Source organism: Homo sapiens, chromosome 9 (assembly GCF_000001405.40).
Source record: "Homo sapiens chromosome 9, GRCh38.p14 Primary Assembly".
Lineage (NCBI taxonomy): Eukaryota > Metazoa > Chordata > Mammalia > Primates > Hominidae > Homo > Homo sapiens.
Window position 1 is genome coordinate 133,675,629 of NC_000009.12, and position 24,937 is coordinate 133,700,565.

Below are 24,937 nucleotides of genomic sequence, written 5' to 3' on the forward strand. Positions count from 1 at the left end.
GTTCTTTAAAACTTTAAAAATACAACTTCCATGTGATCCAGCAACCCCACTTCTGGGTATACACCCAAAGGAATTGAAAGGAGGGATTCGAAGAGGTATTTGCACACTCATATTCACAGGGTTATTCACAATAGCCAAGAGGTAGATGCAACCCAAGTGTCCATCAGCAGAGGATGAACAAGCAGGGCATAGTGGCTCACACCTGTAATCCCAGTACTTGGGGAGGCCAAGGCAGGAGGACTGCTTGAGCCCAGGAGTCTGAGACCAGCCTGGGCAACATAGGGAGGCCCTGTCTCTACAAAAAAAATTTTAGAATTAGCTGGGTTTGGTGGCATGTGCCTGTAGTCCCAGCTACTTGGAAGGCTGAAGGGGGGAGGATCACTTGAGACCAGGAGGTTGAGGCAGTGAGCTGAGATCGCACCGCTGCACTCCAGCCTGGGTGACAGACTAAGACCCTGTCTGAAATTAAAAAAAAAAACACACACCAAAAACAGATGATGAACAGACAAAAAGTGTTCTATCCACATGAAGGAATGTTATTCAGCCTTAAAAAGGAAGGAACTTCGGATGCATAACACAACGCGGACAAAAACATTATAAACACATCACGCTAAGTGAAGGGAGCCAGTCACAGAAGGACAAATCCTGTCTGATTCCACTCATATGAGGTCCCTGGAGTCACCAAATTCATAGACATCAAGAGCAGAATGGAGGGCACAGGGGCTGGGGAGAGGGAAAGGGAATTGCCTCAATGGGGACAGAGCTTCAGTTTCACAAAATGAAGACATTCTGGAGGTTTGTTTCCCAACAATGTGAACATACTTAACACTACCGAACTGTACAATTAAATTAACAAACCAGCCAGCAAACCAACTCCTTTTCTTCATGGGAAACTGAGGCTAGGAACTAAGTGACCGGCACTTTCTCGACATCCTGGACCACAGGAACAGAGGTGCCAGGGGAGGCCGGGGGGTGTAGACACAGAGATGGGAATTCGGGGAATGTGAGGGAATGGCCCTGGGCCGGACAGGAAGCTGCAGTCTGCGTCCAACAGAAGGTCAAGGAGATACCAGAGAGACCGGGGGGAAAGGCGGTACTTAAACAGATAACAGCAGAGAATGTTCCAGAAGTGAAGATGGTCGGTCATGAGCAGTCAGACTGCAGAAAGCACAGTGGGTACCAAACAGGATAAATACCAGTGAATCCCTGCATGGAAATCACAGAAAGAGTCCGGGCGCAGTGGCTCACGCCTGCAATCCCAGCACTTTGGGAGGCCGAGTTGGGCGGATCACTTGAGGCCAGGAGTTTGAGACCAGCCTGGCCAACACAGCGAAACCCCATCTCTACTAAAAATACAAAAATTAGCTGGCTGTGGTGATGGGCACCTTTAGTCCCAGCTACTTGGGAGGCTGAGGCAGGAGAATTGGTTGAACCTGAGAGGCGGAGGCTGTAGCGAGCCAAGGTCGCCCCACTGCACTCCAGCCTGGGCAACAGAGTGAGACTCCATCGCAAATACATAAGACAGAGAGAGAGGCCTGAAACCCTGAAACCACCCCTTGGCGTGGCTCTAGTAGATGCTAATCTACTGTAGAACAGTATCTTCGAAGCACAGAGCTTCGAACATAACTGTCAGCCTGGAAACCCACATCCTCCAGGGGTGAGAGGAGTGAGGTGAATCGACAATGTTCTCAGACCCAGACAGAGCTTATTACGCACGATTCTTGTTGAAAGAATCCGTAGGGGATGCACCTTCAATCCTGGGCCCCTGACCTCACCTGGGTGCAGCTTGAGGGTCGGACCAGAGCAGATACCTGGCCAGGTGGGGGTCAAGCTGAGAGGGAGGAAGACCAAGGTGAGGGGAACTCTGCCTCCTGTTTAGGAATAGGTGCTTTGGAATCAAACCCATGAAGGGTGGGGCTACAGGGGACCTCTCCACCCATGGAACTAATCAGTCCCCTGGAGTGACATGTCTGTTATTATCAGATGTAGCTCTGCAAATAAAGGGTTGGGGCAGGGGTCCTTTGTGATAGCGTGGACCCTGCTGGGAACAGAGTCCCCTTCCTGCTTGGCCCTGGCTGGGGGCAAGGGCTCAGGACCCACAGGGCTGCCTGTTGCCCGTCTTCCCAGTGGCCAGGCGCTGTTCCCAGCCAGTTGGCCTGGACAAGAGGGGAATGATTCCTGAAGCCAGCAGAGCCGCCTGCCACTGGTGGCCTTCGCTGGGGCTCAGACTCCTGGACTATAGGTTGTGATGAGAGAGGATCCCTCTGTGGAATGAGATCATGTGGGGCGGGGCTGAGGCCCGCTGAGTCCCCCACACTTAGGCAAGCGCCACTACTATGACCATGGCTATCTCCCTCCAAATTGGCCTGAGGACCCTCTCTTTTTGGAAGGTTCTGGAGGTCAGACCCTTCCAGGCCCTGGAGGGAGTTCTGTGGGATGCCATTGGTCCCCAAGGATGAGAGGACCCCCCACCTTGCCTGTCCCATTCCATTCAGGCCACTTAGGTGGCAAGTGTCGGTCAGTGGGCAGGTGCAGGAGGCCTCCCTCCCTGGGCCACACAGCACTGGTACCCATTCCCACCAGCCTCCACCACAGTGGCCAGCAGGCTCGAGGCTCATCTGCGGCAAGGGTTCTAGGATTCAGACCATGATCCCCCAAGCAGGGCACCTGGCATGAGGACTCGGGACTAAAGGGGACCAGAAGGCCTCTGGTGCAGCCCAAATCTCTCTGACCTCCTCATCCCCTCTTGTCTCCCGCCCTCTTTCTCCCCTGCAGCAAGTCACAGAAGCCAGAATTCCTCTTTCCCCAGATGGGTCATGGACAGTAGAGGCCCTCTCCCCCAAAGCCAGCCATGAGACCTAGAAATACAACTCAAGCCTTCCCCACTTTTCTGGGGAGGAGCTGGCCATAAAGATGTTCTCCGCCTACCTTGTCTGACTGTGGGTCATAAGACCTTTGCTCCAGGGGTCCTGTCCCATGCCTGGGAGTGAGAAGCACTGCACGGAGAGGCCAAGGGGGAGCTGCACAGCTGGCCTCGCCAGCCTCCCCACAGTCCATCCCCACAGGCATCCCCTGCCGTCCAACACCTGTCCACACGGCTCCCCATTCTTCACCGACCTTAAGCATAGGAACCGTCTTCCCTGGGTCTCTGGGTCCCCCTTTCTGATGGCTCCCATGTCACATAAAGCTCTGATTAAATCTATCTGGTGTGCTTTTCTCTTGTGAACCAGTCTTTTGTTACAGGGCTGTCTCCCATGCCCCTGATAATGGGTGAGGGGAGGGCTCACACCTTTTCTTTCCTTACAAGGGCAAGATGAGAACCTGGAACCGATTGCCCCTGAAGTCTCCAAGGCCCCCAGCTCAGAGCCCTCTGCACCCAGTTCTGCCTGAGGTCACTTGCCCCAGACAGAAGCAGCAAACCCGGGTGGGGGTCGAAGCTTCCCACCACCCACTCCACAAACACCCTCGCTCCAACTTCCCCTTGGGGCCCAGGCCCTTCACACTATCGTGGCAACAGCTCGACCCGTGACAGGGAACACGGTGCCCCAGCCTGCGGCCACCAGTCTCTCTGTGCTGCATCAGGGAACCTGCCCATGATATCGGGTATCTGTCTCAGGCCTCAGCAAATCTGCACGGGTTCTGTAAAGCGAGTGTTTAGGCAGTGGCTGGAACTCAGCTGGTCTCTGACTGGCATGTCATAGTTATCTAACGTGTGTGGGTGCAGGACTGCTCCATCCTGAGCTAATCAAATCCTAACAGCGCCGCGACTAGGACTTCTCGCTGTCAGGAAAAGAGATTCAATTTCCTTTTGAGCTGAAATTAATTTTCAGAGAAAATCACTTGATCACCGTGCCCCACGGAGTGCTCCCAGCCCAGCATGCTGCTTCGCGGCGGGGCCCGTCCTCGGCAGGGGCCCTGGGAACACCGTGTCTGGCCGAGCGGAGCTCTGGGAGACACGCCGGGAGAGCACTGACCCACGGGGAATCTTGCTGGCCTCGAGGCAAGATATTTGGGGAGCAAGGACAGCTGGTCTGCTGGCTGCTGAGCGGACAATAACTTCTCCCCACCCTGCTTCCTCCTCTAGCAGTCCAGGGATCGTGGCAGCCTGGGTCAGATCCCAGCCTCTCGGAGAACAATCACTGCACAACAGCAGCAGTGCTCAGCTGGGAATCGCGCCCAATTCGTCTGGTGGTGAGGAGGGTCTTTGGGCAGCGGCAGGCGCCCGCTCTCGCACCCGGGGCCCGGGTCTGCAGCTCTGGCCCTTGTCCTCATCGGCCCTCACAACTGCTTTCAACCCAGAGGTTCCGCTGACTGCGCAGGCACACGCATTCCTCGCCTGCATCTGGTTGGCTGGAACCCAACTGATCGCCTATAAATACCTGGCTCAGGCCCACGCTCCAGCCCAGCGTTTCTTCACGTTGAGGGATATGTCATCAACACATTTTTAAGCCAGCACAAGATATTATTTAGGAGAATATGAAATTCTCCCTGGATTCAGAGAATCCAGAGTGTCTGGACAGACTTATGGAAAGGCCCGGAAAGAATTTTAGACATTGTGCTAGACTCCGTGCTACAGGTGGGGACACTGAGGCCCAGAGAGGCGACCCGCAGAAGGACCGGGCAGGATGGGAAGCCAGGCTTCTGGCCTGAGCTCCACCGAGCCTTGGGTAACATGGATGCTTTGGTCCCAAACCCCCCAGTGTCTGTGGCTGACTCAACTCCCATCTCCCACCTGCCTGTGAGGCCCCCTACAGGGGGAGCTGGCCGTGGCCAGTGGCTGTATCCCCACCCGTCTTGCTGGCCAGGAAATGGGGAGGGCACTGTGTCCCAGGCTGGGGCCACCTGGGAGCGCGTGGCCCTGGCCACTTTGAGGGACAGCCTCCCAGGTCAGCAAAAACTGTAACATTGACACTAAGGGCCCAGAACCTCTGCTCTCCTGGCCCACACCTCCCCAGGGCCCTCAAGAGGAGGCAGAGGTCACTGAGGACAGGATTCCTGGCCGCTCCGTCCTCCACACGCTCCTCGAGTCCCCGGCCTCATCTCATGGGATCTGGACCCACCGGCCACCCAGCAACTTCAAGCTCCTGAGGGCCACAGTCGTCCTCCAGACACACGCAGACCTGGCCGCCAGGCCCACACTGGCCACTCCAGACACACGCAGACCTGGCCGCCAGGCCCACACTGGCCACTCCAGAGAGCTGCCGGGAGGACAAGGAGGGAGAGGGACGAGAAGCCAGTGGGGCTGCGCTCAGTGCTGGGCATCAGGGTCTCTAGGTGAAGATGGTTAGCCCCAGCTCACCCCCAGTCTGTCCCCGATGGACCCCACGGACTCCAAGAACATGAGCATGGGAATGACCCCACAGAGCCGGCCACTCAGCCCAGGTGACAGTAAATCTGTGCGCTAAGGTCGTCTGTCTTCCTAAGGAGTGGGGCCCTGGGCCACTGGCTGTCGGCAGAGACGAGCTCCTGGCTGGGGCTGTGTGGGGATGGAAGCCTGCCCTCAGCACCGGGGACATCTGCCGCCCTGGTCCTGCCACGGGGGCTGGGAGGTGTCAGGATGGGGCCCACAGGGATGGGGAGAATGCTGGTGGGTAGTGGGTAGAGCAGGGGCAGCTGATGTGGGCTCCCGGCTCGTCCACAGGCCCCTGGGGTCAGTCCCAGGGCAGAGCCCCCCAACACGGGCCACACTTTTTTTCTAGCCAAGAGGTCGAGACACTCGGGGCCTTGCCCCACCCTGTCTGGTTCTTGCCAACACTCAGTTCTCTGTGGCCATCTTTGCGGGACTCTCGGTTCCATGAGAACCCGTTGGCCTGGGGTCACCCCTCACCCTGCCTAGGACCTCTTTCCAGTACAGGCTGGGCTGTGGCTGCAGGTCCCTTCCTGGGCCCCAACCTCACTCGGGGTCTGAGCCCATCGAGGGAAGGAGCCACATCTTCCATCCTGGGACCCCAATCCAGCACCCAGCAGGCTCCCAGGCAGCATGTCCAGAGTTCACTCCAGAGTCTCTCGAGCGCTAGTGAGGGAGAGGACGAGAAGCACAGCACTGGGAACGGATCGTTAAGTTTAGTAAAACACTAGTGCTTGACTGAGAGTCCCAGTGGCCCTACGTGAGCTGACGGTGCTGGGAGGTACACCATGGATAACTGCCACGGCCGGTGCGCGGCGTGTTTCCCAGCAGCTGGGCCTCCTTATGCGTGTAGCACCTCCCCGCCGCCTATTTCCTGTGTCCCCACGATCGCGCACGCCAGTTGACGCTCATGTCCCACCTCCCCTGTGTTTCCCCTCCCCCCCATCCCACACGCAGGGACCCCAGCCTAGAAAGCATTGTGCTTCTCTCCCACTCCGCCTGAGACCTAGGGTAGCACTGGGCAAGCGAGGGGCGCAGAAATACGGAAGGACAGAGAAGAACACACCACAGAGTGACCCGGGACCATGAACCGCACATACCTCCGACCTGGTGGGCCCAGCTCTACCCTCTCTCAGACCAACAGTCAGCATCTACTGGGAGGACGGTGTTCAAGGGAAGTTCCTCCCGGGGCCACTTCCAAAGCAGAGAGGTGGACCCGGTGTGAAACACATGAGCAGGGCACTGGAGACGCAGCTGAGGGCGTTCCAAGTGGTTCTCGGGGAACGTTCAAAGGAACAGGGGAACAGTCACGACATTCGGAGAATAAAGCAGTGTGTACAGACTGCATGGGATGCCCTGATTACATTTTAAAATCCACAGATAGTCACAGATGACGGAAAGAAGATGGCGGGCAACACACTCAACTGTCAACCCTGGTTTCTCTGGGATGGGATTAGAGGGGTTTTCGCTAACTCATTGGCAGGCTATGAATGTCCCCAACGGTCCTCTGAGATGCCGCTGACCACCATGTCCCAGCCAGATGAGCTTCGTGCCGCAGCTCACGAGACCTGCCCACAGACCCAGCATCCTTGTTCTGAGGGGGCAAGGGTCGTGCCCAAAGTGGGCTTGGTAGAAGTGAGGTCTGCACTCAGCCCCTGTGCTGAAACCCACGCGCAGTGATGGTTGGAAACTGCTAGAAGCGAGGTCTGCACTCAGCCCCTGTGCTGAAACCCATGCGCAGTGATGGTTGGAAACTGCTAGAAGCGAGGTCTGCACTCAGCCCCTGTGCTGAAACCCACGCGCAGTGATGGTTGGAAACTGCTAGAAGCGAGGTCTGCACTCAGCCCCTGTGCTGAAACCCACGCGCAGTGATGGTTGGAAACTGCTAGAAGCGAGGTCTGCACTCAGCCCCTGTGCTGAAACCCATGCGCAGTGATGGTTGGAAACCGAGCAATGAGCAGTATTTTATGCAGCCGTGATGTGCTTTTTACAACACCAGTGATTTTACACCAATGAGCAGGAGACTGTGGGGAGAGGCGGCCCCTGCACCCCCTGCACCCCCCACGCTGTGTTTGGCCTGGCCTGTTCCTCTGGGGGATGTCATCCCGGAAGCAGAGCCTTTGGGTCAGCTCAGCAAGCACCTGGCCTGGCCTGGCTCCTAGGCCACACAGGTAGAGGCTGACCCAGGCAGCCACTGCCTAGGCTTGGGGAGGCTGCCAGGGCCAGGAAAGGGCCAGCCCCAGGAGAGGGGAGGCAGCTGGAGCCGCCTGTCTGAGAACAAGTCCCAGCAGCTTGCTGGAGTGGCCGTGCGGGTGGGGGCAAGGCTGCTGGGCCTCAAATGGGAGGGGACGTGTTCCCACCTGGTCGTCTCCCCGTCCTGTAGCCAAACCAGACAGAAGCAGCACCTATGCCAAGCCTCAGCAAGGTGGGAGAACCCGCAGCCCCCCTCCCCTTCTGCAAACCAGAACCCAGCTGCAGACAAAGCTGGATGCTGCGTGGACCCCGGCCTGCTGGAGCTGGAGTCGGGCCATCTGAAGGCCGTGTGGCCTGGATCCAGCTGTGCTGCTCTCTCTGAGTGCCCACCCTCTCTGGTCCCAGCAGGCAGCTTTGCACCACAGAGGCAGGAAGCAAGCTAGACACAGCCGGCCCTGCTTCCTGCCCCTGTGCAGCCTCTGGAGAGGGGAGGTGAGAGCAGAGCCGCTGGGATCTCCCTAGTTTCTGGCCGCCTCCTCCCTGACAGTCATCGCCAGATTGTTTATCTGCTAACAGAACCCAGATTTGTCCCCCAGGACCTCCAGTCCCTCTGCAGGCCAGGACCTCGCTCCTCCCCAACCTTCCTTAGCATTTCCCCACCCAAACCCCAGACGAACATACAGGAAGGAGAGACAGGGAGCTGCCTCCAAACGCGGCCGTGCACCCGCCCACCCCCTCCTGAAGGCCACATCCGTGTCACTGACACATATCGGGGGCTTTCTGGGTTTCTTTAGCCGGGCGGCCCTGAGCAGCCTGGCCCATCCAGCCTCTCTGAGCTCCATCTGGGTAACATCCGTCATGCAGGGCGACATCTCCTCCAGCATGAGCGCTGGAGGGCTCTGGAGGCCCGGCCCCCGCTGCCACTACATGGCTTACAGCCCTGCAAACAAGCAGGGTGGTCATGCACTGAGGTTCTCAATGGGCGATCCTGCCCCCAGCGGACCCTTGGCCATGTCTGAACACACTTGTGGCTGTCACGACGGTGGGTGCCACTGGCACCTAGTGGGCGGCAGCCAGGGAGGCGGCCACACACCTGTGTCACACAGGAGGGCCCTCACAGCAGAGAGGATCTCCTCCAAACGTCAGTAGTGCTGAGGTTGGGAGACCCTGTAACAGAGCCGCCCGCACTATGGCGAGGATTACATGGGAAAGTGTGCTGTGATGTTCTCGGAACAGTGTCTGGCACACAGGAAGCCCTCGGCAAACAGGGGCTGCTGTGTTTACCATCCTCATCTCAGCCTCGAGAAGTCAAAGCAGATGCCAAGATGCCTGTTTTCCAACAAGGAAACAAAGCCCAGAAGAGGGTCGTGCTGGCCCAGAACTAGAATCTGGGCCCCGATCCTGGTCTCTGAGGGAGCCTCCTGCCTGGGGCCAGGTCCCATGGAGTGCTGGCTCCGGACACTACCACCATCTCAGAAGGGACGGGCTCTGGCCCCCAGGATACAGGCTTTCTAGAGTTGGTGGGGGACATGTGGGGTGCTGTTTGGGGACTGGCTGTGCTCCCACCCCAGCAGCCCCTCCTCCCACGCCCACAATGGCAGCTGGGAGGCTGCCACACGGAGCTCTCCGGAGCCAGCTACTGCTCAGCAGAGCTCGGCCCTCCCGTTTCCAGGAGGTCACTTGGCCTCGGGAGGGCTGCCCCGCGCCTTTCAGGAGGGGATACAATAGGTGGCGATGCAGGCAGTGAGGCCAAGGCCACCTTCCCTGGGACTGAGTCCCTGGCATGCACCAGGCACCGAGGAGGGATGGAAGACGCTGTGACTTTGATCCACATGACCTCTCCAAGCTCCCAACAGCCTGTAGGAGGGCCGCCTGGTCCCACTGTCCCCCCTTCACAGTTGGGGACCGAGGCCCAGGGAGGCAAAGGAACCTGCCCGAGAGCCCCCAGCCCCCAGATCCCCCGGCGCACCCCTCACACCATGCTGCCACCCACGACCCAGAGGACGTGGCCAGCTGGAACCTACCAGGTGCCCTGCGGCTCTCAGTAGCTTGTGGGTGGAGAACGGGAAGGCCTCGTTGCTCAGGTCTGCGTCCAGCACCTCCTGCAAAATGGCTCGGCTGCAGGCAAGAGCAAAGTCGCTCAGTCAGCAAGTGCTCACGGGTGGGGCCTGGGCAGGAAAGGCCCCGGGGACCTGCCATGAGTGGGATAAGTCCCTGTCCTCATGAGACAGATGACAATAAACATGGATTAATAAAAATACACCAAGACAGATGTACGTTCCAAATATACATAAGACAGCCACCTTCCAACGGGGTAACGCTAGGGCTAGCAGGACCCCTGGGGGAGGCCAGACTTGGAGATAGCTCTAACGGGACTCGCGATTCTTAGATGGGGAAGTGAGGCCAGAGTGGTTATCTAACCATAGAATGCCCTTGAAGCCCACAGGCCAGGAGGAACAGAGCATCTGGACCAGGTCCACAATCCACAATCCACATCCCCAGGCCTCTCCAGGTTTCCAACTCTTCAGAGGCCAGAGGGGCCTCAGCTGCTGCTTTGGTAGCCACGGCCCGAGAGAGGAGCTGGCTATGGTGGCCTCAGTGCTGTACAGAAGAGTAGAGTAACTTGCCCAAGGCAGAGCCGGATTGGAGCAGATTCCGGCCTCCTCCCAGCCCACTGCAGAAAGTGCTCTTCCCAGACACCACCCCGCTCTGTTCCCTGACCTAACCCTCCAACTGGGCACCTCGGCCCCAAAGTCCTCTGCCTGACATGGGTGTGAGACGCTCAGGCTGCAGACTTGGAGGAGGTAGAGAGCTGGGCTTAGCACCCAGCAGGTGCTAAGAGCCATTTCAACCTCCTAGGGGACTGTCACCTACCGAGGGCAGGGCTGCACCTGAGTGCCACAGTGCTATGAGGGCCCGGGAATGTTCCTGAGCACTGGACACTCAGTCCATACTGGACAGTTTGCACAGACTTGCTGGGTCCACCCCTGCTTTTAAGCTCTGCGAGGGTGGGGATTCGCTCCCCACTTTCCCTGCTCCGTGGTACCCAGCACCACATCTACTCTCACACTTGCGCAAGTACCGGAGACCTCACTGGAGCCAACACCCATGGTCTCCCAGGAAGCCCTCACCTCCTGGGCACCGTGCCCACCTCCAGGCCTAGCCCTCTTGTGCCCCTTCGCATTCTCACCCCTTCCCCTGTCACCACTTAACCCTTTGTCATCCTTCAGCTCTTGGCTCAGCTGTCACCTCCCCCAGGAAGCCCTCCCTGACTCCCTAGGTCTTGGGCAGGTACTCGTTGTCCAAGATCCCACAGTCTCCTGCCAGGGTGTCTCTCACATTGGTTGTACCCACCCCCAATGCATCCACCCCCAGGAGCTCCGTGCCAACAGCATCCCCCTATCCCAATGTGCCTGGCACAGAGCAGGCTCTCAGTAAATAGAACTGACTGTGAACACCCTGGCTTGGCACAGCAGGGTGAGGCCCCCATTGCTAGGAGACGCCCCCCCACTTCTGTCCCTCTGGGATCCCAGCAGGTGTTGAGGCTGCAGGGTGGGCTGTCCAGAAGTACTGCTGACCCTAATCCCAATCGTCACAGTGCTGGGAGCCGCCACCCACGTCAGCCTGAGGTGCTCAGCTGTGGTACAGTTGGCCAAGACCCTTATGTAACCACTCAGCACCCACGTGGTGCCAAGCCCTGGAGAGTGATACCAGTGCCTCAGACCTGACAAGCACATGCTCTCTGCAGCCTTGAGTGGCAGCCGCACGGAAGGGACCCTGGGGCAGAAGCCTGGAGCTGCCACCTGGTCCAAGGCTTTGAAGGGCTCTGACCCAGGCTATGGGCTCAGCAACCTCAGGGGAAGCCCAGTTCCAGGGGTCCACGAGCTTCCCAGTCAGAGGCCCCGGTTCTAGTCCCAGGCCCTGTACTTACCCCTGAACCCTACCAAGCCCCAGTCCCTCATCTGTGATGCCACGGGCCACTGTGAGGAACCAGCAAGAAAGCACACAAAGCCCCTGGTGCTAACCATGACCACAGCGATGGCCAGTTCTGGGCTGCACGACACCGTCTCTCCCAGCCACGCAAGGATATTGGTTTTGGTTTGTTTTGTTTCATTTTGGCTTGAGACAAGGTCACCCTGTCTCCCAGGGCGGCTTGCAGTGGCACAATCACAGCTCGCTGCAGCCTTGACCTCCTGGGCTCAAGCGATCCTCCAGCCTTGGGCTCCCAAGTAGCTGCGACTACAGGTGTGCACCACCGTGCTGAGCTAATTGAAAAATTTTTTTGTTGTTTTTTTAGAGATAGGATCTCGCTATGTTGCTCAGGCTGGTCTCAAACTCCCGGACTCAAGCGATCTTATCACCTCGGCCTCCCAAAGTGCTAGGGTTGCAGGCATGAGCCACCGAGCCCAGCCTCTACCAGCACAGGGGGCTATTTGAGTTTACATCCACTAGTATTAAAAATGCAGTCCCACTAGCCACATTTCAAAGGCTCAGTAGCCACACAGGGTTTAGTGGCTGCGTGTTGGACCACTCAGTTATGGAGCATTTCCAGAAAGTTCCATGGGGCAGCAGCTCACACAGCCCCTACTCCATTGTCCAGTAGGTGTGCTGAGCACGTCCTGAATAACAATTCCGAAAGTGCAGCCTTTATCAGCAGCACCAGTATTATTATTCATCTAAGAAACTTTGGGTTATTTTTGAAAGATAGAGGACATTTTGGAGGAGAAAGTTAAGAAATTACCAGGAGGCAGCGAGCTCCTCTTCCCGCCCTGGCTGCCTCCCCCGCCACCGCCTGGAGCAGCTTATAATGAGGCTGGGCGCACCGGCCGCCCCCGGGCCGCACCTTGATCGGTCCATCTGCCACCTCCTCCCTCCACGGCCCACCTGCCTCCCCCACACTAAAAATATCCCCACTCCCTGTCCAAGGCTGGCGTGGCAATGAAGCCAGAGGATTCCAAGGACCAGGCCTTGACACCCCTCCCTCTACCCCAGAGATGCGGAGGTTGGGGTCACCCAGGTGAGAAATGAAAAGCACACAGCATCGCGGCTGCCTGTGGGCCAGGCTGGGGACTGCATGATTCCACCGCATCCCAGTCCCTTTCCCGGCAGCTGCGGCCAGCACCCTCCACTCTTCATCATGCACGCGGAAGCTGTCTCTGTCCCCTACCCTCCCCCGACCCTCTCAGCACACCCCATCCACTGTCGGGTGCTATGAGCCTCGCCCAGTCCATGGGAACCACCACAACGCCAAACCCTCGCCCGTGAGCCGCATGGACTCAGCTCATCACTCCCTCCTGGCATCCCTGCCTCGCCTGGCCTGAGGCTCCTCACAGGCCTGCTGGCCCCCTGCCCGCTGACCCAACAGCAGAGACCCCCCCACCAAAGCCCAAGCCCGACCATGTTCCTCCTCTGCTCAGCACCCCTCCCTCAGAGGAGCAGCTGCTGGGCCTCCAGTATCTCACCCTGCTGCCCTCTGAGCCCGGCTCCTGGCCTGCTCCATCCCAGCCTCAATGCGTGCCTCAGACATACGCACTGGCCTGCCACGGGGCCTTTGCACCTGCTGTTACCACTGCTGGGAGCAGTTCCCCCAGAACACCAAGGCTGGGTCACTCGTTTCCTGCAGGGTTCTGCCCAAATGTCTCCTTAATGCATGTTGGTTTCTATGAGCAGCCTCAAGTCAAACACTTGGCAGAAGCCAGTTAGTGTTAAAGCACTCGACCCTCTCCGATTCTATCCCTTCCTCAGCAAGCACGCGTCTACCGTGTGCCCCTGAGCACCACAGTGCATATGCTTGGACGGACAGCAACAGCTCGGTCCCTTGCAGCCTGAGAGGGGAGCAACTGGCCTAGGACTCAGCGTGGGGTGCCAGGGAAAGCGGACCCCATGGCAGAGTCTGGGCACTCCAGCCAGAGGTCTCGGCAGAATCCCAGGCTGACAGGATATCACCAGGACACAGCCCTGCTACGTCAAGTGCTCACCTCGGCGACCTTCAGGCTGGAGACTCATCTCCCCCCCACCCCTCCCTGCCTCTCCTCCTCTCCTTTCCCATCCTCTCCCCGAAGCTGCCACCATCATTTTCCAGAGACAGATCACCCCTTTGATATCCTCCATGTCCCCAGAAGCAGTGCCCTCATCTCGTGCCTCTTCCTCCTGCCCAGTCCAGCAGAGCCACCCTGTCCAGCCCCAAGGCAGATGTGGCGGCAGGAAGCACACCGAGATGAGTGTCCTGGCCCCTTAGCCTGGTGGGGGAGGGTCACCAATGGAAGGCCTAGACTAGGCCGTTTTCTCACAGAGGATTTTTAACTCTTGAAAAAGGGTGGCGGTGAGCGTGTGCAGGCTTCTGAGCACAAGGGGGACGCATCCCCATCAGCCCTGGCACTGACCAGCTGTGTGACCTTGGGCAAATGTCTCAACCTCTCTGTTTCTCAGTTTCTGCATCAGTAAAAATAAGAACAATTATGACCACCTCAAAGGGCTACCGTGGGGATGGGAGATGTTGGCTCAGGCTTGGCAAGTCACAGGTGCTCCACTGGTGGCTGCTAACATGATGTCCTTCCTCCCTGTCCCCCACCCCCAGTCCCTTCTCCCAGCCTCCGAAGCACAGTCAGAGGGGTCTTTCCAAGGTGCACACCTGCTCAGCCGTCCTTTTGCCCAAGACTCTTCTGTGGCTGTGTGCATGAGCCAGCAGCCGAGGGTCTTCCCCGGTCCTGGTTTCTCATGGGTGGGGAACACAGCCCGGCAGGTGTTTATAGAAGGAATGCACGCATGGATAAGCCTTAACCTTGTCATGGAGGGTGTTTCCGGAGGAGCCAGGGACCCCTCGGTATAGGATATTATTCTGCCCATGTGATCAAGGTGGCGTACAGAAATTACCAGGTAGCAGGGCGAAATCTGGCCTGGTTCTGCCCACTTTGGGATGGTGGACGGTAATTCCTAGACTGCACTGGTGACTCAGAGACTGCCCTCCCCTCTGGGATCCTGGGGTCCTCAGTGACTGAACAGCTGTAAATTTCAGTCTGACTCGTGTTACCGGCTTATCTGCATTCCAGTGCTTTGAAGATATTTATTCAGAATGGCATCTCTGGTTTACCAGAGCGCTTAACTATTCAGAATGGCCCATTCTGGACAAGCTGTTCTGCCCAAGGGCCTGTTGGAGGACCTGGGTCCAGGCAGCAGGTGCACCCAGGGGCGGGCTCCCAGTCCTCTCTCACCTGGCTGGGCCCTGGATACTGATCATACCCAGGTCCTCGGAGCTGTCGATGAGCTGGCACTGGGACTTCTGGTCCTGCAGCACGGTGGTGATGTGGGACCAGTTGTGCTGGGCCACGGCCCCGCCCATGGCCAGGTAGTAACCGTCCCCTGGAAGAGAGGCACCTGGACTTAGAGCAGGATTTCAGGGCCTGGGAGGTGGGGACAGAGAGGGTGGCCCAAGGGTCTCCCGGCTGAGAAAACAAATGCCCTCTCAGGGGCCTGTGCCTTCACAGTGCCCAGGAACCGTATCTGTCCCTCCCTGGGTCCCCCAGGGCCACGCCTTGCAGAGTATCCTCTGAGCCATGGGGGTTAGGAGAAGGACCTGCTTCTCAACCCCTACCACCCACCCCTCTGCAGACACCTCAAAGGGATGCCCCTACCCTGGGAGGACGGTGTCTTGGGAACACACAGGCCTAGGCCAGCCTGGCCCAGATGCAGTTCTGCGGCTCACCGGCCTTGCTTCTCACCTCTCTGAGCCCCCATTTTCTCATCTGTAAAAGGGGCAGACCCACAACATCTGGCCCCACAGGGCTATTGGAAGCACCCTTGGACGAGAGACCTCTCAGGGCCCCAGGCAGGCCCCAGCCAGGCTGCTCCCTCTCTTCTTCCTCTTGACACCATAAGCACAACAGAGAATGAAGGCAAAGAGACAAGCCAGTCCTCAAGGGGTTCCCCGACACCTGAACTGGGGCCGTTTCTGGATGGAATCCTCAGCTCTATTCAGACAGACACCCTACCTCACCTCCCCCAACACACACACACACACACACACACACACACACACACACACACACACGGCCACTCTCAGGCCCCTGGCTCCTGAGTGGCCCCCCCAGTCTGCAGCCATCCCAGGCCTCTCCCAGGAGGGCATGGGAGCTACTGAGGCCAACTGGTGCCCAGGGAGATGGCAGCTGATGGGCCTGGCCTCCTGTGGCCCTGACCATCCATGATCAACTTCCCTGAAAACAAGACGCCAGTCCTGAGGCCAGAGGTCAGTCAGCCCAGGTCCAGGCCTGGCCTGCAAAGCTGACATGGCAGAGAGCAGTGAGAAGGCAGGGTGGCCGGGGACTTGCACCATCGGCAGTGGGTGTGGGGGGAGCTGTGGGCTGTGCAGCTGATTTTGTGCTTTTCAGTATCATTGGAATGGTTCCCAGGAGCATGTATCCTTTTGTAATCTTACAAAAAGATCAATAAAGACCATTTAAAATTACTTTTGAGATTGACAGCTGCTTTGTATGCCACCTTGATCACATTGTGTAAATCATCACATTCTCTCGGCTCCGTGGTGATCTGATGCAGCATGGGTAGGTAGCGCACGTATTCAACACGCGCATATTTAATGCCCATGCATATTCATAACTCAAACAGTGCAGTTTTGAAGCCTGAAAGTAAAGCAAAGCCCACATGGTGGTTTTCTCCTGTTGAGTGGTGTCCCCAGGACCCGCAGAGCCCTGGGGGATGTGACTCACTGTGCTAACTCCACACCCACCAAGTGCAAACCTTCCCAGCAACCAGCACCGCCGATCCCCAGCCCTCAGCTCTAGGAATCCACCAGAATCCTCTGGAAAGCTAATTGTGCACCACTGGGAGATGGCTCAGCGTTGAAAGCACTTTCCTGACAGCTTCCCCTTATGAGGGGGGACGAGCAAGGTCCTCATTCCCCAGCCAGGGAAACTGAGGCTCAGGGAGGCTGCTCCCCAGCCCTCCCAGCACCCCCAGACTCTGACTCAATTCTCCATCGCAGCCCCGGGAGGCGCGTCTTCCTCACTCCATTCCACCAATGGGGGAAACTGAGGCTCGGGGGGGCAGGTCGCTGAGCCAGGTAGTGGCAGGACCTGGCCAGGATTTTTGGTGACCTGTGTCCTCATTTTGGCCCCTCTACTGTCTCCCTAGCTAGACTCACTAAGTCTGCGGCTATGGGCTGTGCCTGGGCCGCCCCTCTACTGGGGGCTGATGCCTAGCTCCTTACAGGCAACACTCCTCTCAGCTCAGAGATGCCATTTCAGCTGAATGACCCAGAGACGACCAGCGATGGGCAGGTCACACTGGTTCTCACCTCTACACCCTTGTAGCCAGTGGCTCCTCCCCATCCTTCCAAGCTCAGGCCGGCCCTCTCCTCCAGGAAGCCTTGCTCATCCCGGCTCGGCGGCTTCACATGGCCTTCCCTAACACCTCGCTCTTTCCCATCCCCTTGCATGTCCCCCTCCAGGTGTTACGGGGCCCTTCCTGCCCCCGTCTGGACATACAGCCCACTGTGGGGTCCCTGAAGCCCCACCGGCCTCCTTCACCTCCTCCCGACCCTGGCTACCTGGTGCTTCCACACAGTGCAGGCTCACGTGATGACTGTTGAGGGAACGAGCGAAGGAACGAGCTCATGGATCCATGAGGCACGAGCGCTGTGGCTCAGCCCATGGCTCCCTCAGCCTCCACGTCGCCAACGGCAGGAGGGAAGGGGTGGGCGAGCTCTGCGCACCCCATAGGACCCCTCACTCACGCTCTCAGCCTCATCTCCGCCACCAGCCTCCAGACCGCAGGGCTCACCTCACTACTCCCTGCTTTTGGCAGAACCGCAGAGGCCCAGGAGCCCCTGCCAGCCCCCAGCCCCGAAGACCCGCTGGGCAGTGAGGAGCGCTGTCTTCCCACCCTGGCCCCCAATATCCCACCCCCTCCGGTCTTCATTTTTCCTCTTGACCCATCTAACATCCTACACCTTCCACTTATTTTATTTTTTTAATCCTATTTCCTCCCACCAGAGATACAAACTCCACATGGGCCAGAACCTCCTGTGTTTGGCTCACTGTTGGGTCCTCCGTGCCTCAAACTGAGCCTGACACACAGTCGGTGCTCAATGACTGCTGCCGAAGGTGCGGGTTATGAGCTGATCATGAATGAGCCCCTTTCTCCCCTTGCCTCTCTCCCCCAGTGCCCAAGCTGGGGCTCGACACTGACCGAGTCCCAGTGAGGAAACAACTACATTTGCCAGCAGCACGGAGTCAGGTCAAGAACCAGGAGATGCCAGGTTTTCTGAATGGGCTGAGCCCTCCCCGCTGACTGTGCCCCTGCCCCGGGGACAGCACAGAGAGCTGCACGGTCAGCACCTTCCCCTGTGCAGGTCCCATCCCAGAGGTGGCAATGCCTCTTCCTGGAGAAAGAGAATGTTTCCCTCTCTGCTTCTTCATCCCTGGTGGGGATGGGTTACAGGACGAGAGATCAGATGGCTCCTGTGTGAACCCAGGGACAGGATCAGGGAGCTGAAGGGACAAGAGGCAGGTCCTGGCTCTGCGTAACAGTTGGGGCTGAGCAAACAAGGGATGAAGGTACTGAGCTACCTGTCCCTGAGGGTATGCAAGCAGACATGGTGGGACTGCAGCAGGCAATCAGGCATCAGCGTGGGCCCTGAACTGGACGTCTTCTAAGGGCCTATCCAAGCTCCAGACTAGAGGGTCACACGGGCCTGAGAAGTCAACCCAGCAAGGATGTCAGTGGCAGAAAGGAGCTGACTGCTTTGAGTGGGAGGCACGGCCTAGCATTGGTACGCTTTGTTCCGGGAAACCGAGCCGAGCACGCCCACACTGCAGCCACTCCGAACCGCAACAGCGTGGACAGGTTCAGAGATGCAATCACTGAGTACTGGGAGCTCCAGCAATGCCGCCTGAACAAAGCCCCCATTTAGCCTGAAACGAGACCTCTAATCTCCCAGCTCTGACCACAGCGGGCACAACAGCTAATGACAGAGCTGCCGTCAGCAGCCCATCCCGTCCATCCTGCCCTGTCCACAACCACCAGTCCACAGAGCAGGCCGCAGTCACAGCGCCGTGTGCACAGAGGCATCCCATACCTTCAAAGGCGGGGGCCAGCGGGGAGGCCTGGTGGCTGGGTGCCAGGCGGCTGACAGTCAGGTCACTCTCGGTGCCCCCACGGTGGTTGAGCATGCACGTGTACACGGTGGAGCCTGCGAGAGGGAGAAGGAAGCCGGGTCTGTGCTGAGGCCCCAGCCGGGTCTGTGCTGCCTCAGTTTCCCCAGGGCCGCTCACAGGGGCAGCTCCTTGTCACGGAGGCTGGATAACCCCCAGACAGGATGCCCTACTGGGAGGTGACCTGGAGAGCTCCTCAGCCCAGGGATGCCATTTCAGCTTAATGACCCAGAGAGGACTGGCCATGGGCAGGACATCCCATCACCGTCACCCTTGCGGGAAGGAAGCTTCTTTCTTCTTGAAATGCCTTGGCACTGGCCCCTCCCACCCATCCACCACCATGCTGAGAAGTTTCTAGGGACAGGATTCATGCCCCCCGTTCATTCTGGGGCTCCTAGCTCCGTGCCTGGTACCGGAGAAGACTCCATAAATGTCTGTGGCATAAATTACTTTGTGGATGGAGGATGGATGGACAGATGGGAAGGTGGGCAGATGGATGGGAGGATGGGAGTGGGTGAGCAGAAGGGGGAACAGATGTATGGAGAAACAGGGATGTGTGGGCTGGTGGATGGGTGGATGCAAGACTGAGTGGGTGGCTGGATTAATGGGAGGTGAGCAGCAGGTGCCTGGGAGTCTGGGGAGTGGGTTTGTTGGTTGGCTGGCTGAAGAGATGATGTTAGGGGTTGAATTGTGTCCCCCACAAAAGATATGTGAAAGTCCTCACCAGGACTGGGAGTGTGATCTTATTTGGAAATGAGGTCTTTGCAGATATGATCAGGTTAAAGTGAGGTCATGAGTGTGGGCCCTCATCTAATCTGACTGCTGTCCTTCTAACACGGTGGCTCACACCTGTAATCCCAGCACTTTGGGAGGCTGAGGTGGGAGGATCACCTGAGGTCAGGAGTTTCAGACCAGCCTGGCCAATATGGCGAAACCCCGTCTCTACTAAAAATAGAAAAAATAGTTGGGCATGGTGGTGTGCGCCTGTAATCCCAGCTACTCAGGAGGCTGAGGCATGAGAATCACTTGGACCCAGGAGGCGGAGGTTGCAGTGAGCTGAGATCGCGCCATTGCACTCCAGCCTGAGCGACAGAGCGAGACTCCGTCTCAAAACAAAACAAAACAAAAAAGAGAACACCTGGAGAAGGCCTTGTGACACAGGCAGAGACTGCAGTGACGCAGCTGCATGCCGAGGAAGGCCAAGACTCCCGGCCACCACCAGCAGCTGGAAGAGCAAGGAAGGGTCCTCTGCAGAGTGTCAGGTACAGACACCCTCATTTTGACCTCCAGCTTCCAGAACCGTGACAATAAATTGGTGTTGTTTTAAGCCACCAGGTTTGTGATCCTCTGTTCTGGCAGCCCAGAACACTCATGAAGATGGGGACGCATGAGCTGTTGGGTGGGTGGGTGGGTGGGTGACGAAAAGGCAGATGAAGATCCCAAGTATGTCCCAAATATGGCTTGGGACATACTTACATTAAAAATGAGTCATTATGTATCCAAAATTCAAATGTAGCTTAGCATCCTGTGTTTCTATTTAATTCTGGCAATCCCACCTGTGAGAGCATGGGGGGGACTGGGCCCCACAGTCCCAGGAGAGACGTGGCTGAGGGCCAGCTGCCACACATCCTTTCTGGAAGAGTAGAGAGGAAGGCAGAGGTAGGGAGGAGAAGGAAGGCAGGAGGGAGAGGTGGAGGAAAGTAATGAGGGCCTGGGGCCTGGGATGGGGCAAAGGGGGCCGGACGGGGGGGAGCTCAAAGCCAGGTGAGGGCAAGGAGCAGTGTGCTCAGGGTGCCCGAGGGGACAGGGTGGCTTGCCAGCTCATCTCAGTGCCTGAGGCTGTGCCCATGGAGTGACAGGAACATGCCCCCCAACCTCAGGCTCCATACCTGGGGGTCGGCTGACATCTGCGGAGAAGAGCCAGTCGGCAGCCTTCCTTGCATCCAGCCCCACCAGGTAGAACTTCCCGAAGTAGGACATGTCAAACACAGCGGCGGCCCCTCTGCAGGCCAGGCACTCCTTCTTGATCTGAAAAGTTCCAGACAGGTGGGAATGCCACGGGGGCCTTTGGGGTGTGCTTCTTCCTCAAGAACGTGGAGAACGGGGGCTGTGTCCAACACACCTGTACTGAGCCTCCCCTCCCTCTCTTCCAGCCCGCACCAAGCCCTTCTCAGCTCAGGTGCACACTGTGACACATGCTTCCCAAGCACAGGACATGCTCCCCAGGATAGATAATATGCTAAGCCACAAAATAAGGCTCAATAAATTCAAAAAGGTTGAAATCATACAAAGGATGTCCTCTGACCGCGATGTAATTAAATTAGAAATCAATAGCAGAAGAACAATTGGAAAATTCACAAATATGTGGAAATTACACAACACACTGCTAAAGAACCAATGGATCAAAGAAAAGAATCACAAAGGGAATTAGAAGCTACTGAATTAAATGAAAATGAAAGCACAACACACAACCACTTATGAGATGCAGCTAAAGCGATGCTCACAGGGAAATTTCTGCTTGTATGTGCTTGCATTACGAAAGAAGATCTCAAATCAATAGCCCAATCTTCCACTTTGAGACACCAGAAAAAGAGCATAATTAAACCCAAAGCAAGCAGAAGGAATGAAATGTTAGAACAGAAATAAGAATCGAAAAATAGGAAAAAACAGCAAAACAAAAAGTTGATGTTTTGAAAAGATCAACAAAATGGACAAACTTCTAGCTAGAGTGACAGAGAAAATGAGAGGACTCAAAGTGCTAAAATCAGGAATGAAAGACAGGAGATCATGCCTACCCCACAGAAATAAAAGGGATTCTGAGGGAACTCCGAACACGTGTATGCCAACAGACTAGACACGAAATGGACAAATTCCTAGAAACACACAAATTACTGAAACAGAATGAAGACATGACAAATCTTAATAGAACTAAAACAAAAAAGAGATGGAATTCGTAATTGAAAAATTGTCCACAATCCCAGGTCCAGATGGCTTCCCTGATGAATTTTACCAAACAGTCAAAGAACTAATACCCATTTTTCCCAAACTCTTCCAAAAAATATGAATAGGAAATACTTGCCAATTCACTCTAGGAGGCCAGCATTACCCTGATGCCAAAAGCAGAAAAAGATATTATAAGAAAACTACAGACCAATATTTCTTACAAATATAGATACAAAAAAATCCTCAACAAAATACTAGTAAATCAAATCCAACAACATAGGAAAGAGATTACACACCATGATCAATGGGATTTATCCCAGGAATATGAGGTTGGTTTAACATTCAAAAATCAATTGATGTAATGCAACATATTAAGAGAACAAAGGACAAAAACCATCTGATCCTCCAACAGATACAGAAAAGTATTTGACAAAATTCACCCGTTCATGATAAAAACGCACAACAAACTAGGACTATAAGGGAGCTTCCCTCAGCTGATGAAAGACACCTATAAAAATCACATTGCAAACATTATACTTCATGATGAAAGATCAGGAACAAGACAGGGGGGTCCATTCTTGCCACTCTATTCAACATTGCACTGGAGGCTCTAGCCAGGGCAATTAGGCAGGAAAAGAAAAATAAAAGGCATCCAGATCAGAAAAGAAGAAATAAAAACATCCCTATTTGCCAAAACAGTATCTTGTATATAGGAAATCCTAAGGAATCCACTAAAAAAAAAAAAGAAAAAAAAGAAAAAAAACTGTTAGAACTAATAAAATAGTTCAACGAGGTTGCAGGATACAAGGTCAATATATAAAAACACACAAAAAACTATTGTATTTCTATATTAGCAATGAACAGTCTCAAAAGGAAGTTTTAAAAAATTATATTTGTAATATCATCAAGATAATAAAATGCTTAGGAATAAATTTAATTAAAAAGTCCCAAACTTATATCCTAAAATCTAGATTTTTTGAAAGAAATGAGAGAAGACCTAAATAAGTGGAAAGACAGCCCATGTTCATGAAACAAAAGACTTACTATTGTTGAAATGACAAGATACCCCAAATTGATCTACAGACCTAACACAGTCCCTATCAAAATTCTCAGCTGGTTTCTTTGCAGAAATTGACTAGCCAATCCTAAAATTCATATGGAGATTCAAAGGGGCCAATAATACTCAAAACAATATTGAAAAGGAAAAACAAAATTGCAGAATTCACATTTCTTGATTCCAAACTTGCTATTAAAATACAAAGCCACATAATCAAGACAGTGAGGTACTAAATAAGAATAGACCTATAGATCAACGGAATAGAATTGAGAGTCCAGAAATAAGCCCTCATCTTTACAGTCAATTGATTTTCAACAAGGGTGCCAAGACAATTCCAAGGGTAGAGCAATCTTTTCAACAACTGGTGCTGGGCCAACTGGGTAGCCACATGCAAAAGAACGTGGCTGGACCCGACCTCACGCCATGCAAAAAAAATTAATTTTCATGGATCCTAGACCTAAGTGTAAAAGCGAAGATATAAAACTCTTAGAAGAAAACATAAATGTTTTTTACCTTCGGTTAGGTTCTTAGACATGACACCAAAAACACAAGCAACAAAACAAAAACATAGAGATGAATTGGACAGCATCAACATTTTAAAAGCTGCAAACAATGCCATCAAGGAAGAGAGATGACAACCACAGGATGGGGAGAGTGTGTGCACATTACAGATCTGATAAGAGACTTGTAACTAAACTATAAAAAAATTTGCAACTCAATAATAAAAAGACAGTCGGCTGCGGTGGCTCATGCCTGTAATCCCAGCACTTTGGGAGGCTGAGGCGGGTGGATCACCTGAGGTCAGGAGTTCGAGACCAGCCTGACCAACATGGAGAAACCCCATCTCTACTAAAAATACAAAATTAGCTGGGCGTGGTGGTGCATGCCTGTAATCCCAGCTACTCAGGAGGCTGAGGCAGGATAATTACTTGGGAGGCTGAGGCAGGCAGATCACCTGAGGTCTGGAGTTTGAGACCAGCCTAGCCAACATGGAGAAACCCCATCTCTACTACAAATACAAAATTAGCTGGGCGTGGTGGTGTGCACCTGTAATCCCAGCTACTGAGGAGGCTGAGGCAGGAGCATTGCTTGAACCCAGGAGGCGGAGGTTGCAGTGAGCCGAGATCACACCATTGCACTCCAGCCTGGGCAACAAGAGCGAAACCCTGTCTCAAATAATAATAATAATAATAATAAGACAAATAACCCAATTTTAAAAGGGACAAAGGATCTGAACAGACATCTCTCCACAGAATATATGCAAGTGGACAACAGGCCCATGAAAATGTGCTCAACATCATTAGTTGTTCCAGGAATGCAAATCAAAACCACACTGAAATGCCATTTCACAACCACCAGGATGTCTAGAATCAAAAAGTCAGATAATAATAAGTGTTGGCGAGGATGTGGAGACACTGGAACCCTCTCGCACTGTGGTGGGGAATGTAATGTGGTACAGTTACTTTGGAGAACAGTTGGCGTTCCCCCAAAATGTTAAACAGAGATACCACTTGACCCAGGCCTCGTTATATACCCATAAGAAATTATAACATACATGCATACGACACCTGGTACGTGGATGTTCACAGCAGCACTGCTCATAAGAACTCAAAAGTGAAAACAATTCCAATGTCCACCAACGGATCAATGGATGAGTAAAATATGATGGGTCCATACAATGGAATATGATTGGGATAAAAAGGAATGAAGTGGCCTGGCATGGTGGCTCATGCCTGTAATCCCAGCACTTTGGGAGGCCAAGGCAGGTGGATCACCTGAGGTCAGGAGTTCAAGACCAGCCTGGTCAACATGGTGAAATCCCGTCTCTATTAAAAATACAAAAATTAGTTGGTCATGTTGGCCTGTGCCTGTAATCCCAGCTACTTGGGAGGCTGAGGCAGAAGAATCGCTTGAACCTGAGAGGCAGAAGTTGCAGTGAGCCGAATTGCACCCCTGCACTCCAGCCTGGGGCAACAGAGCAAGACCCCATCTCAAAAAATAAATAAATAAATAAAAATTTGAAAAATTAAAAAAAAAAGGAATGAAGTGCTGACACACACACTACGACATGAATGTGCCTTGAGAATATCACGCTAAGTGGAAGAAGCTGATCACAAAAGCACACATCTTTTATGATTCTACTTACGTGAAACGTCCAAACTAGATATATCTACAGAGAGAGAAAGTAGAGTAGGGTTGCCCTGGGCTGGGGATAGGGTGAGGTGTGGGGTA

The 24,937-nt window shown here is 54.9% G+C and overlaps 1 protein-coding gene across 12 annotated transcripts in view, besides 3 other annotated features; it reads right to left on the reverse strand.

Moving 5' to 3' along the window:
• Positions 1-24,937, reverse strand: part of SARDH (sarcosine dehydrogenase) — an 80,538-nt gene that overhangs the window by 16,211 nt on the left and 39,390 nt on the right. For 11 of the 12 annotated variants that reach the window (XR_001746217.2, XR_001746216.2, XR_001746213.2 and 8 more), the window contains 4 exons: positions 20,595-20,733; positions 18,630-18,743; positions 14,752-14,899; positions 9,565-9,658 (listed from right to left, as the gene is read on the reverse strand). Coding sequence is in view for 8 of the 12 variants with exons in the window: in XM_017014367.2 (XP_016869856.1) it covers positions 9,565-9,658; positions 14,752-14,899; positions 18,630-18,743; positions 20,595-20,733 (495 nt within the window). In the remaining 4 variants the exon portion in view is untranslated. The remainder of the gene's footprint in view (positions 1-9,564; positions 9,659-14,751; positions 14,900-18,629; positions 18,744-20,594; positions 20,734-24,937) is intronic. The other variant, XR_007061258.1, reaches the window with a different exon arrangement.
• Positions 893-2,036: an enhancer, noted in NCBI's record as "amplified fragment containing the chr9:136541641-136542786 (GRCh37) CAGE-defined region". NCBI's record gives its function as "transcribed enhancer in T cells {active_cell/tissue: T cell}" and the evidence as "EXISTENCE:reporter gene assay evidence [ECO:0000049][PMID:24670763]".
• Positions 1,343-1,843: an enhancer, noted in NCBI's record as "H3K4me1 hESC enhancer chr9:136542093-136542593 (GRCh37/hg19 assembly coordinates)". NCBI's record gives its function as "activates a minimal SCP1, AML or CMV promoter by ChIP-STARR-seq in naive H9 embryonic stem cells {active_cell/tissue: H9 hESC(naive)}" and the evidence as "EXISTENCE:reporter gene assay evidence [ECO:0000049][PMID:30033119]".
• Positions 9,780-10,280: an enhancer, noted in NCBI's record as "H3K4me1 hESC enhancer chr9:136550530-136551030 (GRCh37/hg19 assembly coordinates)". NCBI's record gives its function as "activates a minimal SCP1, AML or CMV promoter by ChIP-STARR-seq in naive and primed H9 embryonic stem cells {active_cell/tissue: H9 hESC(naive and primed)}" and the evidence as "EXISTENCE:reporter gene assay evidence [ECO:0000049][PMID:30033119]".